The 16050-nt window shown below is 42.9% G+C and overlaps 1 long non-coding RNA gene across 1 annotated transcript, besides 2 other annotated features; it reads left to right on the plus strand.

Annotated features, from left to right (window-relative positions):
• Positions 5320-5893: an enhancer, noted in NCBI's record as "OCT4-NANOG-H3K27ac hESC enhancer chr18:9643443-9644016 (GRCh37/hg19 assembly coordinates)". NCBI's record gives its function as "activates a minimal SCP1, AML or CMV promoter by ChIP-STARR-seq in primed H9 embryonic stem cells {active_cell/tissue: H9 hESC(primed)}" and the evidence as "EXISTENCE:reporter gene assay evidence [ECO:0000049][PMID:30033119]".
• Positions 6841-7347: an enhancer, noted in NCBI's record as "H3K27ac hESC enhancer chr18:9644964-9645470 (GRCh37/hg19 assembly coordinates)". NCBI's record gives its function as "activates a minimal SCP1, AML or CMV promoter by ChIP-STARR-seq in primed H9 embryonic stem cells {active_cell/tissue: H9 hESC(primed)}" and the evidence as "EXISTENCE:reporter gene assay evidence [ECO:0000049][PMID:30033119]".
• LINC02856 (long intergenic non-protein coding RNA 2856) lies at positions 7985-10465 on the plus strand. The gene is made up of 2 exons (XR_002958226.1): positions 7985-8437; positions 9861-10465. It is a non-coding gene; the product is annotated as a long intergenic non-protein coding RNA 2856 (long non-coding RNA).
• Positions 10466-16050: the final 5585 nt, after the last annotated feature.

Raw genomic sequence — 16050 nt, forward strand, 5'->3', positions numbered from 1 at the left:
ATACCTGTAGTTCCAGCTACTTAGGAGGCTAAGGCAGGAGGATCACTTGAGGCAACAAATTTGAGGCTGCAGTGAGCCTTGATTGTGTCGTTGCTCGCCAGCCTGGGCAACACAGTGAGACCTTGTCTCTAAAAATATAAAAAAGGAGCTCACAGTCTAGAGACAACAAAGTAAAAGAATTGTAACAAAATGCACTAAGGGCTCTGACAGAAGGAAGCAGAAGGTGCTCTGGGAACACACAGGGTGGATCTGAGAAGACTGGGCAGAAATACTTGGTCAGGGATCCTAAGAGAAGCATGTCGTCTTTTGTAAATGCTGAACATGCCTAGTAGCAGGCGTCAGTTTTCTGTGTCCTCCTTCGTGAGGGAAATGGACCTGGGGGGAGGCTCAGCGCTCACCTTAGCCATGTGCAGGGGGTAGAGTTGTGAGCACAGTGCTTCGAGGATAAAGTGACCTCCCCCACTACCATCCATTTGTGGGCACCCAGGTGGCCTTGCCTGTAGCTCCCCACCCTCTGCGCCCAAGCCCCAGGTCAGCTCAGACACCGTTTCTGGAGACAGGTGAGCCTAATAAACCTTGAATTGTGAATAATTATCATTTCCAATTTACTTTCAATCTGTGAAATGTACATGAACTAATTTGTATAGTTGTCTATTTAGTGTGTCTTTTTCCCCACTTTTATTCTAGATAACCATTTCCATGCAGATAATTTAAAGGGGTTTTATTTCATGGAATTCACTGAGAGCCTGTCTGTAGATTCGCTTGTAGGGAGTCCTGGTCTAGCAAGATGAACAGATTTCCTCTGAGTACATTTCAGTTAATCCATGGGCATGGGCACACAGTCACACCTCATTGTGAAGTCTGCTGAAACGGCACACCTGGTGTTTGTCTGCAGGTCTGTTCTTGCAACTAATGAGCATGGATTGGAGCTCGTCGGTGTGTTTTTCCCTGTGTTCAGCTCTCCACCTGTGGCCACCATGTCACTAATACTCTATTCTGCCTGCTTTTGTCTAGAGGACTAGCACAAGAATGTGCAAACAATTTCCTGTCGCATATTTATTTAAATTGTATTTGATGACTAAAGAGATGATGTTTATTCAAGGACAAGTATCATATTTGAACAAGTATCATATTGAGAAAATTATATAATTGACATGCTTTAGTTTACCATAAATTCAATCAACCCCCTTGGGTTAGGGAGCTTAGCTGCCTGCTGAGTGAGTTGCATAATACATGTATAAGGGGTTCTCAAACCGTAGCATGCTTTAGAATCCCCTGGAGGGCTTGAAATTTTAAAAATTGATACATAATAATTGCATGGGGTTTAGCTGAGCTTGGTGGTGTCCACATGTAGTCCCAGCTACTTAGGAGGCTGAGGCAGGAGAATTGCTTGAAGCTGGGAGGTGGAGGTTGCAGTAAACCAAGATGGCACCACTGTACTCCAGCCTGGGCAAAAGAGCAAGACTCCATCTCGAAATAATAATAATAATAATTATATGGGGTACATGTGATATCTTGATATATGCATACAAGGTATAGTGATCAAATCAAAGTATTTAAGATATACAGTCCCTCTAACATTGTTTCTTTGTGCTAGGAACAATTCAAATCTTCTCTTCTGGCTATTTTGAAATATACAGTAAATTATTATTATTATTATTTTTGGGACGAAATCTCCCTCTTGTCCCCCAGGCTGGAGTGGGATGGCACGATCTCGGCTCACTGCAACCTCCGCCTCCCGGATTCAAGCGATTCTCCTGCCTCAGCACCCCAAGTAGCTAGGATTACAGGCACGTGCCACCAAGCCTGGCTAATTTTTGTATTTTTAGTACAGGCAGGGTTTCACCATGTTGGCCAGGCTGGTCTAGAACTCCTGACCTCAGGTGATCCACCTGCCTTGGCCTCCCAAAATGCTGGGATTACAGGCGTGAGCCACCGCGCTAGCCAAATTATTGTTAACTATGGCTTCCCTGCTGTACTGTGGAACATTCGAACTTATTCTATCTAACCGTATGCTTCTACCCATTAACCAACCTCTCTCCATCCCACTCCCTTTCCTAGCCTCTGACAACTATCATTCCACTCCCTGGAGGACTTTTGAAAGCACAGATTGCTGGGCTTCACTGGCAGAGTTTCCAATTCCATAGGTCCGAGGTGGGGCCTGATAATGTGCATTTCTGACAAATTCTCAGGTGTTGCAGATGCTGCTGGTCTGGAGACCATACTTTGAGCACCACTGACATACATAAAGCTTGTGCTGAAAGCCTGTACAAATCTCACAAATTTGCATTAAAGAATAACTGCTTCTTTTTAAATTTCAATGAACATGTTTTAAAAATAGAAGTGGTGGCACCGTTGGGGAGATTTTCAAAATTTCATATAGTAAGAATCTATGATCGTTTCCCCAAAAGACACCTTTGTATTGAAGAAAAGCAAGCAATAGACCAGGAGGTCTGTGTTCTGAATCCCTTCAGACCTTGCTAAACAGGCAGCTGGGATGAGACTAGCCTGGAAAGAGGCCCTCAGGATTTGACCAGGGCATTGTGGCCAAGACCTTCCCCTCCCCTAAACAGCAACACCTTGTATAGCAGTACAATGAGAATGCAAAATAGATGACATGGATGGCTACAATTAGGATATGGCTTTTCTCATCTTCTCTTTTTTCTTGCAGGAAAGAGTAAAGAAATCTGTGTTTTTTTTTTTTAAATTAAAGAACAATGATAGTGATCTTTTTGGTAAGGTTCAATGGGAAACATTATCTGAATGGAATCAATAATTTGTGGGGTAGGCTCTTGAGTCAAAAAGGGGAGAAGAATTCCCTGGAAGGTCCGTGAGGTTGCTTGTCTTGCCTTGATTAGTAGTGTTTCCTGGCCAGCATGGGCAACATAGTGAGACTCTGTCTCTACAAAAAAATATGAGAATTACCCAGGTGTGGTGGTGCACCTCTGTAGTCCAAGCTACTTGGGACGGTGAGGTGGAGGATAGCTTGAGCCCAGGAATTTGAGGCTACAGTGGGCTATGATGGTACCACTGCACTCTAGCCTGGGCAACAGAGTAAGACCCCATTAAAAAAAAAAAGTCTTGAAAGAAACTCTAGATTCCAAAGACACACATCATCTCTCAAAATGATGCATGGATTACTCAGGGTTGTTCAGGGAAACAGAACTTATAGGAGATAATAGATAGATAGATAGATAGATAGATAGATAGATAGATAGATAGATAGATAGAAAGATAGATAGAAAGATAGAAAGATAGATAGATAGATAGATAGATAGATAGATAGATAGATAGATAGATGGATAGATAGATAGATGATAGATAGATAGATGATAGATAGAAAGATAGAAAGAAAGATAGATAGATGATAGATAGAAAGAAAGAAAGATAGATAGATAGATAGGAACTGATTTTAAGGAATTGGTTTATGCGAGTGTGGAGTCTGGTAAGTCCAAAATCAGCAGAGTAGGTTGCAGGCTGGAGACCCAGGGAAGAGATGATGCTGTAGCTCAAATCTGAAGGCTGTCTGCTGGCAGAATTCCCTCACCTCTAGGGCAGGTCAGCCTTTTTCTATTAAGGCCTTGAACTGGTTGGATAAGGCCCACCCACTTTATAGAGGATGATCTGCTTTACTCAAAGTCTACTGATTTAAATGTTAATCTCATCTAAAAAATGCTTTCACAGAAACAGCTAGAGTAATGTCTGAATAGATCCAAATACTGTGGCTGAGCAAGGTTGACATATGAAATTAACCATCACAGTGCTTCATAAATAATCATTGATTGAAGAGATATCTAGCGTTTTACTCTGTAGAATCCTGTGCAGTTGCACAAAAGTGACCTGCTGTTGATTCTACTCTGAAACATTTGATGTAACAGTTTTCCAAACAGCAAGAAATATTTAGGGGGTTCAAAAAAAAAAGACTAGGCATGGTGGCTCACACTTGTAATTCCAACACTTTGGGAGGCCTAGGTGGATCCCTTGAGGCCAGGAGTTGCAGACCAGCCTGGACAACTCTGTACAAGACCCTGGCTGTACAAAACAAATTTTCAAAAATTTTGCCCGTGCGTAGCATGTGCCTGTAGTCCTAGTTGTTTGGGAGGCTGAGGTGGGAGGACCACTTAAGCCAAGGAGTTCAGAGCTGCAGTGGGCTACAATTGTACCACTGCACTCCAGCCGGGTGACAGATCAAGACCCTGTCTCTAAAAAAACCAAAACCGAAAACAAACAAAGAAACGAACAAACAAAAAACCCAACTAAATGTTGTTGGTGTCTTTCCTATAACTTTCTATCCAAAATTTACCCTCAGACAGAATATAGTAAGTTCCTTATTTTCCATGATAATAAGAATGTGAGACCCATTCTTGTACTAATGGGTTCTGTTATGCTACTGCTGGAACCCTGGTAACTAGGGCAGTGCCTGGCATGGGGTTGAACACTAAGGAAATATGGATGAATGAACAAATGAATTCATGACGATGGAACCAAGCAGCCACAGAAAGTGCAATTAGAAGAATGTGATTAGGATATCACATGTATATTTTCTATGATAAAAGTTAGCATCAATCCACATTCATAGAAGAAATTTCACTTCAATTTAATCTAAAAAATTTCATCTTCTTGGCCGGGCACAGTGGCTCACGCCTGTAATTTCAGCACTTTGGGAGGCTGAGGCAGGTGGATCACTTGAGGTCAGGGGTCCGAGACCAGCCTGGCCAACATGGTGAAACCCCAAAATACAAAAACATGTCTACCAAAAATACAAGAATTAGCCGGATGTGGTGGTGCATGCCTGTAATCTCAGCTACTCAGGAGGCTGAAGCAAGAGAATCACTTGAACACGGGAGGCGGAGGTTGCAATGACCTGAGATCACACCATTGCATTCCAGCTTGTGCGACACAGCAAGACTCTCAAAAAAAAAAAAAAATCATCTTCTTGCCTGGAGAACAGGTTTATTGAAGCAGCAATTGTTAAGTAAAATAGGAAGATTGTGTCAAAATATATTCTGCATGGAATCTTTCAGACACACCAAACGTTGAAATAATGTACTTGTTTCTAGTGAGAATTCTCAGTGGAGCCAGCCCCGGGGCTTATTAGTGGGCAACCGCACAGGGTGCAGAACTGCTTTTCACAACACATCTCCCTGACAGCCATCTCAAGGCATCAAACGCCTAAAGTTCCACCATCTGGGGTGTGTCCCTTTGAATCTTAAGGGGATTTTAGGATTTTAGGTTTCTAGCATTCTTGATCAAAATGTAAATGTAAATACCTCACAAAGAATAACATGTTAAAAATGTCATATTAGCACTGGGCAGGGATCAACTCCATCTATCAGCCATCAACTGGATGCCCCATGTATCTTTTTCTAAGTTATGATTTTTCCAGTTCTAATAATTCAAAAATATCCATAATCAATTCCTCCCTTACAACCATAAAGGAATCATATCTTGTGAAAGATATGGGGTTTATGTATATAGTTTTTTTCTTCCTTATGCATTTAGGTAGATTTGCATAATAAATAATCTAATTGTTTTCACATTTAGGGAAGGGAGGAATGTTCCAAGCTCTTTATGCTGAGGGAAGAGTAATGGCTGTGGAATGCAGTTGAATGACTTTCTGCTGACGTGCTCCTTCTGGTTGCTAGGGTACTCACCCATATGTTTATACACTTCTGTAAAAACGACCTAAGGAATGAAGAACGGATGCAAGCACTTCAGGGATTTGGAGATCACTTTCACAAACCTATTAAATTTTTCTTTCATCTGTCCTTCCAAAGTCAGAACCATATATTTAACAGAAAACATGACCAAGAAATGTTTATATAAATTCATAGTTGGATCGTTGGGTTTTGATAGAATAATATCATTGGAGCAAATATTACACTTGGAAATGCACTTTAAAAATAAGCCAAAAGCCTATAAGAATAATGTTTCCTATTTGTGTGTTAAGGTTGATCATAACTATATTTACCTTAATACCCATTGTTCAAGTTATAACCTCAGGATGATACACAAAAACATGCAGTTTTGTCTAGAAAAACTTGTATCTATTTGGTTCCCCAGGTAAATTTTTGTTGTATTAGTTTTAAAATCACACAAGATACAAATGGCTTAACAGTGGTAAAGTCATGTTCTCTGAGAAAAGCACTTCCATTCCCTAATTTTATTTTCTTTTTGTAATAGATATACTGGAAAATGATGGTTAGCAACTTGTGCCTTTTTTTTGATACAACTAGAAGCGGTACAATAACAGCTTCTCTGTGGCAGCTCCAACCACATCTCCTAGAGTGATGGTGAGGATTAGATAGAACAATGTATTAAAGTTTCTAGCAAAATACCCAGCATAGGGTAGCCACTCTCCAAATATTAGTTTCCCTTGCTTACTCTAAAGGATTTAAAATTACATATTTAATTTCAAAAAATTGAAAAGTTGAATGATTATGTAATCAGAATTTTCATTAATTGGAATTTTCATGAATCAGAATTTTTAGGCAAAAGTTTTATGAATTGGAATTTTCAGGCAAAATTCTATTATAGCTCAAGTTACTTTTTTGTGTTTATATTTTAAATCAAACCAAATGACTAAAAAAGTTTTCTAGGAAGGGACTGAAACCCTTTCTCTCCTTCTTTTAACAAGGCCCAACTGTTAACACTGAGCTGTTTTTTGGAGAGGTAGTCTTGCTCTGTCACCCAGGCTGGAGTACAGTGGCGTGATCTCGGCTCACTACAACCACCGCCTCCCGGGTTCAAGTGATTCTCCTGCCTCAGCCTCCCAAGTAGCTGGGATTAAGGCACCTGCCATCATGCCCGGCTAATTTTTGTATTTTTGTAGAGACAGGGTTTCATCATGTTGGCCAGGCTGGTCTTGAACTCCTGACCTCAGGTGATCCGCCCATCTCGGCCTCCCAAAGTGCTGGGATTACAGGCATGAGCCACCACGCCTGGCCAACACTAAACTATTAACGCTGAACTCAGCCTGCAGTGTAAACATTCTGTATACATTACTGCCCTTTTGTCAAGGTCAAGAACACGCTACACGCTGTTCAAGGGTGTATCTGTAAAGAAAACGTGCTTATAATTAGTACAATGAACATTATTTGCTAGGCAAAAATACAAGTATTTTCTGGTCTAAACTGATATTCAGTGGTCTTGTGTAATGACGCATTTTAGAAGTCTAATAAATCACTCCCAGAACTATGTATCCACTGTAAATCAACAAGTCAACAAGACTTTCTTTAAAAATTTTAAACACGGACGGGCGCGGTGGCTCACGCCTGTAATCCCAGCACTTTGGGAGGCCGAGACGGGCAGATCACGAGGTCAGGAGATCGAGACCATCTTGGCTAACACGGTGAAACCCCGTTTCTACTAAAAATACAAAAAATTAGCCGGGCGTGTTGGTGCGCGCCTGTAGTCCCAGCTACTAGGGAGGCTGAGGCAGGAGAATGGCGTGAACCTGGGAGGCGGAGCTTGCAGTGAGCTGAGATCGCGCCACTGCACTCCAAACTGAGGGACACAGCAAGACTCTGTCTCAAAAAAAAAAAAAAATTAAACAATTTTAGAGTAGAATAATATACTTCCTTGTAACATATTCATACTGACACAAAGCCAGGGGTATTTGAGGAAATCTCTTGCCCTTTGCAATTCTCCTCTCATACTTCTTTTTATACTAAATTTTTGGCATGGCTCTGTTCTGACGGATGGATCTCTTACAAACCTATTCTGTTTCCTAACCCATTCATTTCACTAAATAAAGGTTCGAACCCCTATTGGTCAACATGCTTTTATCTCCTGTTATAAATACACCAAGCAGTCAGGGCCCTCTCTTTCACAGATGACCATTATTTCTCACCGACCAGCCCCCAACCTCGGCATCCAGAATTTAGGGCCAACAGTGTCGGAACTGTACTTGCTAGTAGTTACCTAGGTAATTTCAAGATGCCCATCTTTCAGAATGTTTAAAAATGAAAGTTCTTAAGGTGACAGTCTCTCAAATAACAGATAAAGAAATTAGGCAAGGTACTGCTGTCTCCATCTCTGTAAAATAAAACCTAGGCACTTTCACTGATAATAGACTAGCACCAACATGCAGTCAGTAACACGGGACACTAAAAACAAGCCATTTGGATCACACAAAGAAGAATATTGACTCGTGCCACTTTAAAACATGTGATATTATTTGGCATTCACAATTCTTTCCCTATTTGTTGTCTGTATTGAATTTTTCCTTTGACTTAGTGCACTTGCTCATGTATCTTGCCCTCTTTTAAACCTTGGTTGGTGACGGTTCTTTGCACAATTGCGGAGGTCTTTTGCTACTCCAATTGCATAAATAACTGAAGTAAGGCTGCAAAAGTCAACCGAGCTTGGGCATCAAGGACAATGAAGTTGCTGAGTATCTCTTGTGCCTCACTGACTCCTTTCCAGTCAGGAGACGGTAAGTGCTTCGTACTAAGTGATTATGCTCCAGGAAACTCCAGTGTGTTAGGAGCAGGCCCATTGGCTGTGCCATGCATCACAGCCCTGGGCAATCGCAAAGTCTAGGGCAAACAATATGAACAGCGAGATTGTTGCTCCCCTGTTTTTTATGGGAGAGATAAACCTGAAATGGCTCAGGCTAGAGAAGCTGCTGGGAATAAGGGGGGTCCCCAGCAGCCATGTTCAGTCACCTCCTGGCTCCTACACATGACAACTTGTGCAAATGCAAAGAAGTAGGTCCGGAGCTTTCCATCACATCTCAATACCCTAAGACCAAAGATCCTTCCAGGCTAAGGACTCAATACAAATACACAAACCTAGATGCTGTACAACATATGGCTCCATTTTGAAATATGGCTATGGAGAGGGAGGGCTGGGAATATCATTTACTGAGTGTCTATTGTGTCTCGGGCTCTGTGCACATTGCATTTTGAGCTCACAAGAACTCTGTGAGGAAGTACTATCTCTGACAAAAGAAAGAAAACTGCTGAGACAAACTGAGTTGCTGTTAGCCAGCAAGAGTCAGAACTAAGCTCTCATCTGAATCTGTCTGATTGTGAGGTCTTTGCTAGCTTTTTTTTTCTTTTTCTTTTTTTTTGAGACAGAGTCTGGCTCTGTCACCCAGGCTGGAGTGCAGTGGTGTGATCTTGGCTCATTGCAACCTCTGCCTTCTGGGTTCAAGTGATTCTCCTGCCTCAGCCTCCCAAGCGGCTGGGATTACAGGTGTTTGCCACCACGCCCAGCTAATTTTTGTATTTTAGTAGAGACAGGGTTTTACCATGTTGGCCAGGCTGGTCTCGAACTCCTGACCTCATGTGATCAGCCTGCCTCAGCTTCCCAAAGTGCTGGGATTACAGGCGTGAGCCACCATGCCCGGCTGGCCTTTGCTAGCTTTAATCACTAGGAGCATGACTAGGGTAATGGAAGAGGAAGACTTGCAATGCATGGAGTTTAGCCAGAGCTTCAGTTCCCTTGCTCATCCTCCTCCCTTCATCTCTATCTCCTCCTTCTCCCTCTAGCACTGACAGTGTTCAAACAAGACCTCAAGCTACCTAGGCCTGACTTTCCTCATCTGCAAACTTAGGGGTTGGCCTGGTGACAAGACAGTGGCACCGACCAAAATATGAGCCTGTTGTGACAGAGCCCATGCATGGCCTTGCTGGGTCTGGACAAACTATACACTCCCACTCTTCTTGTGGCACTGACTTGGGGTTTCTTGTTCTGATTTGATTTCCAGGGACCCTCCCTGGGTCACAAAATCTGTAACCCCTGGAATACTGCGTAATGCAAACTGAACTGGATAGTTGTTTATCTAGCTCTTACCTTGTTTTGAAAAATGTATGGAATTTCTTTCTTTTTAAACAAGTACCATTTTGTTTCAGACCAGTTTGAAGCAGAAGAATGTCCTGATAATGGCATAGAGCCAAAGCGATTCCATCCTCTGGACATGAGCTGTGTGGTGTCCCCGTCCTCATACCTATTCCAGAACCACACTGGTCCCTGCTCTCGTCTCCGAACTGTCGGAGGATGGACCTGCTTTTGCAAGGACCTGAACTCCCTGTGTTGTTGCTTAAGATTTTTACCCAGGCATGAAAAGGAAATGAATTCTGCCAACTCATCGCTGTGTCTGTGGGAACAGAAACTCAGGGCACCTATTCTCTGCAAGAAAAGCATCAATTCCCTGTAAGAAAAGTTTCCCACCTGAGACAATGACACAGACCAACATAAATGCTCTTTTGGTTTTATGATTTCTGATATTAGATTTTACTTGATTTTTTTATTTTTAATTTTTTAAATTTCATTTTGAGAGTTAAAAGGGTTACTTCTTTTATTTCCAGCAGTTCAAGGAATTTCAGAGCAATCTTGGTCCAGAGTTGGTAATAAAGACATTTAAATGAGATGGGAATACTGTCTGTTATGCTGACCAGTACTAAGTCTCCCGCAGTTCATTTTTCCTGAGAATAAATGCCTGTCTGATACATCAAGACCTATTTATGCTTAGTAATTGTGTGATTCTACATCCTCTAAAGCACCTCCACCTGAAGATTAGTCATTCCGCCAACCAACATTTGCTGAGCTCTTACTCTGAGCAAATCTTGATGTTCATCATCATGAAGTATACAAAAAATAGAGACCACGATTTCTCCTTAAGAAGCTAAACTTCTTCTTGGGGAAAAAGTGAACAAAACAAGAGCTGACATAGGGAATGTGTCACATGTTTAATAAATAACTGCTAGAGGAAAGAGGCAAATAAGTGATTTAGAAGTTCAGAAGAGAGATGGACCCCTAACAGATTTCATTCATTCAAGCACCAATTCTTTCACTCATTCAGCCAGACGGTATTTCTGGACTTCCGTGTTTGGGTGTTAAGGGGATTTCAGGATGAATAAGAAAGGGACCTGCCCCTGGGACTTACAGTAAAGTAGACAAGCTAAGTCATGTCCACAAACAAATATAAATCTAGGTTGTAGGTGATACGTGCCGCAGAGAGGTAGAGAGAAGTGTGCTTGGACTTCAGGACTTCAGGGATGGGACTCAGCTCAGAGACAATCCTGGGAGGCCTCCTCAGGCAGATATTTAGTCTGGCTTTGAAGAATGGGCAGAATCTGTACTTGTGGGGTTGCTTAAAACCACTTTCATCAATGGTGCCCAGACAATTTCTTTTGGGATTGACCATTGGTATTTGGAACATATTTCTCATGGAAACAATAGTGTGGTCTTTGGTCTCCTGGTATGCCCACAAATCTACAATGTGCCTGAGAACTATTATAAATACATTCTTTCAACTATAGTCATGCGCTGCATATACAACAGTGGTCCCATAAGATTATAATATCGTATTTTTACTGTACCTCTTCTATGTTGAGATATGTTTCAATACCCAATTGTGTTACAATTGCCTACAGCATTCAGGACTGTAACCCGCTGTACAGCTTTGCGGCCTAGCTGCAATAGGCTACACCGAACAGCCCCAGTGTGTAGTAGGCTCTGCCATCCAGGTTTGTGTTAGTGCACTCAATGATGTTCACAGAATGACAACATCTCCCAGGACACATTTGTTAGAACACATTTCTTAGAATCCCCATCATTAAGTGATGCCTGACTGTATGCATAAATATTGTGTCAGGGTTCCTGTGGGAAAATTCAGGCTGTTTTCTCATGTTTGGAGCCATGCACACAGCTTCCTGCTGCCCAGGCTCAGGGGCAGGGGTCCCCACTCCCCAGCTTTCCTCCCTGGCTGCAGCCCCCTTGGGTCTCAGCCAAGGCACAAGGATAGTGAAGGCTTCTGTGATGGGTGAGATTTGTGAGGGAAGATCTGGGCTGTGGGGCCTGTAGCTGACACAAACTGGGGGTGGGGGAGCTTTTCAGAAGAGGAATTTAAAAATCTCTTGCTTTTGCCAGTGTTTTTTTTTTTTTTTCTTTTTTTTTTTTTTAAACAAAGTCTTGCTCTGTCGCTCAGGCTGGAGTGCAGTGGTGCGATCTTGGCTCACTGCAACCTCCACCTCCCGGGTTTAAGGGATTCTCCTGCCTCAGCCTCCCGTGTAGCTGGGACTACAGGCGCCCGCCACCATGCCTGGCTAATTTTTTGTAGCTTTTGCCAGTTTTATAGAAATATAAGTCTGTGTGAACATATTGCTAGGGCTCCTCCCAGGGCCCCACAGAGGTCTCAGCAAGTGAGAGACTCTTGTCAGTCTTCATTAACTTTCTAGAAAATCCACATCTGGATCTCCAAAATTTGAAATGCTTGGAGAACAGACATCTATTTATTCTTTGTCCTTCACTAAAATACGGTGACTCCCAAGTGTTTTGTATTAGGGAGAAAAGGGACTAGGTTCCGACAGCCAACTCCTTTGCCGTCCCTGGGGTAGAGGGAAAAGGGGAGGAGAGAGGAGGAGGAAGGGAGACTGGGGTGAGCATGAGGCCTGGTGTAGTCAATCATAGCACAGGCATAGGAGCCAAAGGGACCTGGGCTGGTATTCCAGAATTTTCCAGAATTGATCTAGGACAAGTGACTCCACGTTTTCAAGCCTGGGATTTCGCATTTATAAAAAGTTGGTAATAATGCCAATTTCAGGGTGCAGTTTCAATAAAAGAATATGTCTAAAACACCTAGCATAGGTTGGGTACAGTAGCTCTCACCTGTAATCCCAGCACTTTGGGAGGCCGAGGTAGGCGAGGTGGATCACCTGAGGACAGGAGTTCAAGACCAGCCTGGCCAACATGGTGAAACCCCGTCTCTACTAAAAATACAAAAATTAGCTGAACGTGGTGGTGCATGCCTATAATCCCAGCTGCTCAGGAGGCTGAGGCAGGAGAATCACTTGAACCTGGGAAGTGGACGTTGCAGTGAGCCAAGATTGTGCCACTGCACTCCAGCCTGGGTGACAGAGTGAGACTCCATCTCCAAAACAATAAAAATAAAAGTAAAAAATAAAAATAAAATAAAATACCTAGCATAGTCCCCTGCTCCCTGCAAATGTTTAACAATGCGCAGGGACAAGATGTCTGGAGACTGTGATCCTACCTATGGAAAACAGCTTTGCAAAACTTCACTTTCCTGCCTGTAACTTTAGTTCATTTATCTCTACACCCGAAAAGAAGAAGAGACTGCAAGAAATGTTGGTGTTGGAAAGGACATCAAGCATTACGGAGAGGACGGATATAAGTCTGTGTAAGTCTTTTGTAAGTGGTAAAATTCAACGCAAATGGGAATTTGTGTTGATGTCAGCTTGACTGTAGAGATGGTGCATAGGTTTTCAGCTGCTAGCCAGGTATAGTGTTTCCAAAGGATAAAGGTAATCAGATTGCTGGAGAACAGGGACTAGAAAAGCAGGTCAGCTGAAATAACTTAGTGTGGGTATTTTTACTAAAAATTGGTCAAATAGAATCCTTTTAGAGACAAATACTGAAATATTTACAGGTGAAGTGATGTGCTGGGAGTTGTTTCCCCAGGGGGCAAGTGGTTGAGGATACTGACAAAGGTGGCCATCTCACTTCTTTGGTATATGTCTGCAATTTTCAAAGTAAAGTTTTAAAAATGATCAGATAGATAAAATCATTTATTCTATCATCAAGCAAATGTCAAGATATGTCCTTTGCTGTGACCCCCACCCACCCACCTGCCAAACTAACCTCACTGGCATTCCTTAATCCCTCTGATGCAGTCCTGCCTCTGTGCCCTAGGAACGCTGTTGACTCAGCAGGAGGCATCTTGGCTGATGTAGAGGTTCCCTTACTTTGAAGGTGTCCTTGTTGGGGTGCCCTTGTCTGCTGTCATTATCCTCTTCTAGTTCCTGCCCCTACCTTGAGCTTCAGGACTCCTGTATGACCTGGTTCTTTTTTTTTTTTTTTTTTTTTGAGACAGAGTCTTGCTCTGTTGCCCAGGCTGGAGTGCAGTGGCATGATCTCGGCTCACTGCAACCTCCATCTCCTAGGTTCAAGCAATTCTTCTGCCTCAGCCTCCCCAGTAGCTTGGACTACAGGTGCCCGCCACCACGCCTAGGTAATTTTTTGTATTTTTAGTAGAGACAGGGTTTCACTGTGTTAGCCAGGATGGTCTCAATCTCCTGACCTCGTGATCTGCCCATGTCAGCCTCCCAAGGTGCTGGGATTACAGGCGTGAGCCACCGTGCCGGCCTGACCTCCTTCTTGACTCATAGTCTTTATCCGACCTCCCATACCTGCTTGGCCAGATGCATTGCAGAGGACTTACTACCCATGTGCTTCTGGTCTTCTGACTTCTCCCTTGAATACGGAATCTGGCAATTAAGCAACTCCCAGGTTCAACCCAATTTCATGCTTGGTGCATAATTCCCACCCTCCCCTGACAAGTCTCCATGATTAACTGGAGCTCACAGTTCACAGTGACTCTGAAGGAGAAAAAAAACAATTGCGCATTTTCAACTCACAAGAATAACGTGCATTTCATTTCTTTGTAGTTTTATTCTGGAATTTTTAATTTACTATTTCTTTTGCTTTGAATGTATCAATTTCCAGTCATCTTAATGAACTCATTATAGTAAATCTCTGAAGCATTTTATTTTACTTCACTTTTAAAAATTTGTATATTTTTCCTTTTGTTTGTATTTTTTATTATCATAGTAATCTAGACTCTGACATTAGAATACACAGTATCTATTAATTTCCTATTGCTTCTGTTAAAAATTACCACAAACATAGTGGCTTAAAGTAAAATGCATTTATCCTCCTACAGTTCTGGAGGCCAGAAGTCTGGAATGGGTCTCTCTGAGCTAAAGCCAAGGTGCGGGCAGGGCTGAGCTCACTCTGGAGGCTCAGGGGAGAATCTGTCTCCTTGCCTTCTTCTGGAGGCCACCTGCATCCCTTGGCTGGTGGTCCCTTCCTCTATCTTCAAAATCAGCAGTGCAGCATCTTCCAGTCTCCCTCTGCCTCTGACCTGTTTCATCTGCCCACCTTCCACTTTAAAAGACTCTTGAGATTCCACTAGGCCAACATAGTCCAGGATAATCTCCTGTTTTACAGTCAGCTGATTGGCAACCTTAATTCCGTCTGTGACTTTAATGCTTCCTTGCCATGCAACATATACACAGATTCCAGGGATTAGCATGTGGACATTTCTGGAGGCCATTATTCTACCTGCCACACAGCATATTAGAGATTGAATGTCGTTTTTAAGAATATCCAGGGCGAAATATATCCCAAGCATGAAGTGGTTGATTTAATAAGAACCATACAAGGGACTGGATGCTGTTCAGTGAAATTTGTCTAAGTAAACTGGCAACTGAAGCACTCATGCTCCTAGCACCATCAGTTTACAGCTTAGCTTTTCCACAGGCTCCAGATTTCTGGCTACCCAGGAAGCTCCCTTGTTGATCTGGGGTGGACTCCTGATCCTTGTGATGCTGCCTCTCGGGTAACAGACTCAATGTTATACACTTGGAAGTCACTGCTGTTGACCCGGCACAACCCTGGCCTTGTTCTCCACTCAGCCCCAGGGCACCAGCTGTGCCACACAAGACCATGTGTCCAAGGGATGTGGCCTCAGCGTCCAACACAAACATGGCCACTGGCATTGTGCCAGGTGCAGGAGACAGACAGCAGAGACAAGAATTCTAACGCTGGAAGGGAATTTAGAAATTGTCTTGTATTTATTTATTTATTTATTTATTTTGCAGTTTATCTTACAGATGAAGAAAATGAGGCCTCGTGATGCTGAGTAATTTTTAAAAGACATACAGGCGGTGTCAGAGCACTAGACCGGAAGCAGGTTTTTTTTTTTTTTTTTTTTTTTTTGAGACAAGGTCTGGCTCTGTTGCCCAGGCTGGAGTGCAGTGGTGCAATCTCGGCTCAAGTGATTCTGCCACTTCAGCCTCCCCAGTAGCTGGAACTACAGGTGCACATCACCACACCCGGGTATTTTTTTTTTTTTGTAGAGATGGGGCTTTCACCACGTTGGCCTGGCTGGTCTCAAACTCCTGACCTCAAGTGATTCACCCACCTTGACCTCCCAAAGGGCTGGGATTACCGCTGTGAGCCACTGCACCTGGCTCGGAAGCAGATCTTTGAGGGGCCAAATGGAACCTACCCTGGTTT

This window comes from Homo sapiens, chromosome 18 (assembly GCF_000001405.40).
Source record: "Homo sapiens chromosome 18, GRCh38.p14 Primary Assembly".
Taxonomy (NCBI): Eukaryota; Metazoa; Chordata; class Mammalia; order Primates; family Hominidae; genus Homo; species Homo sapiens.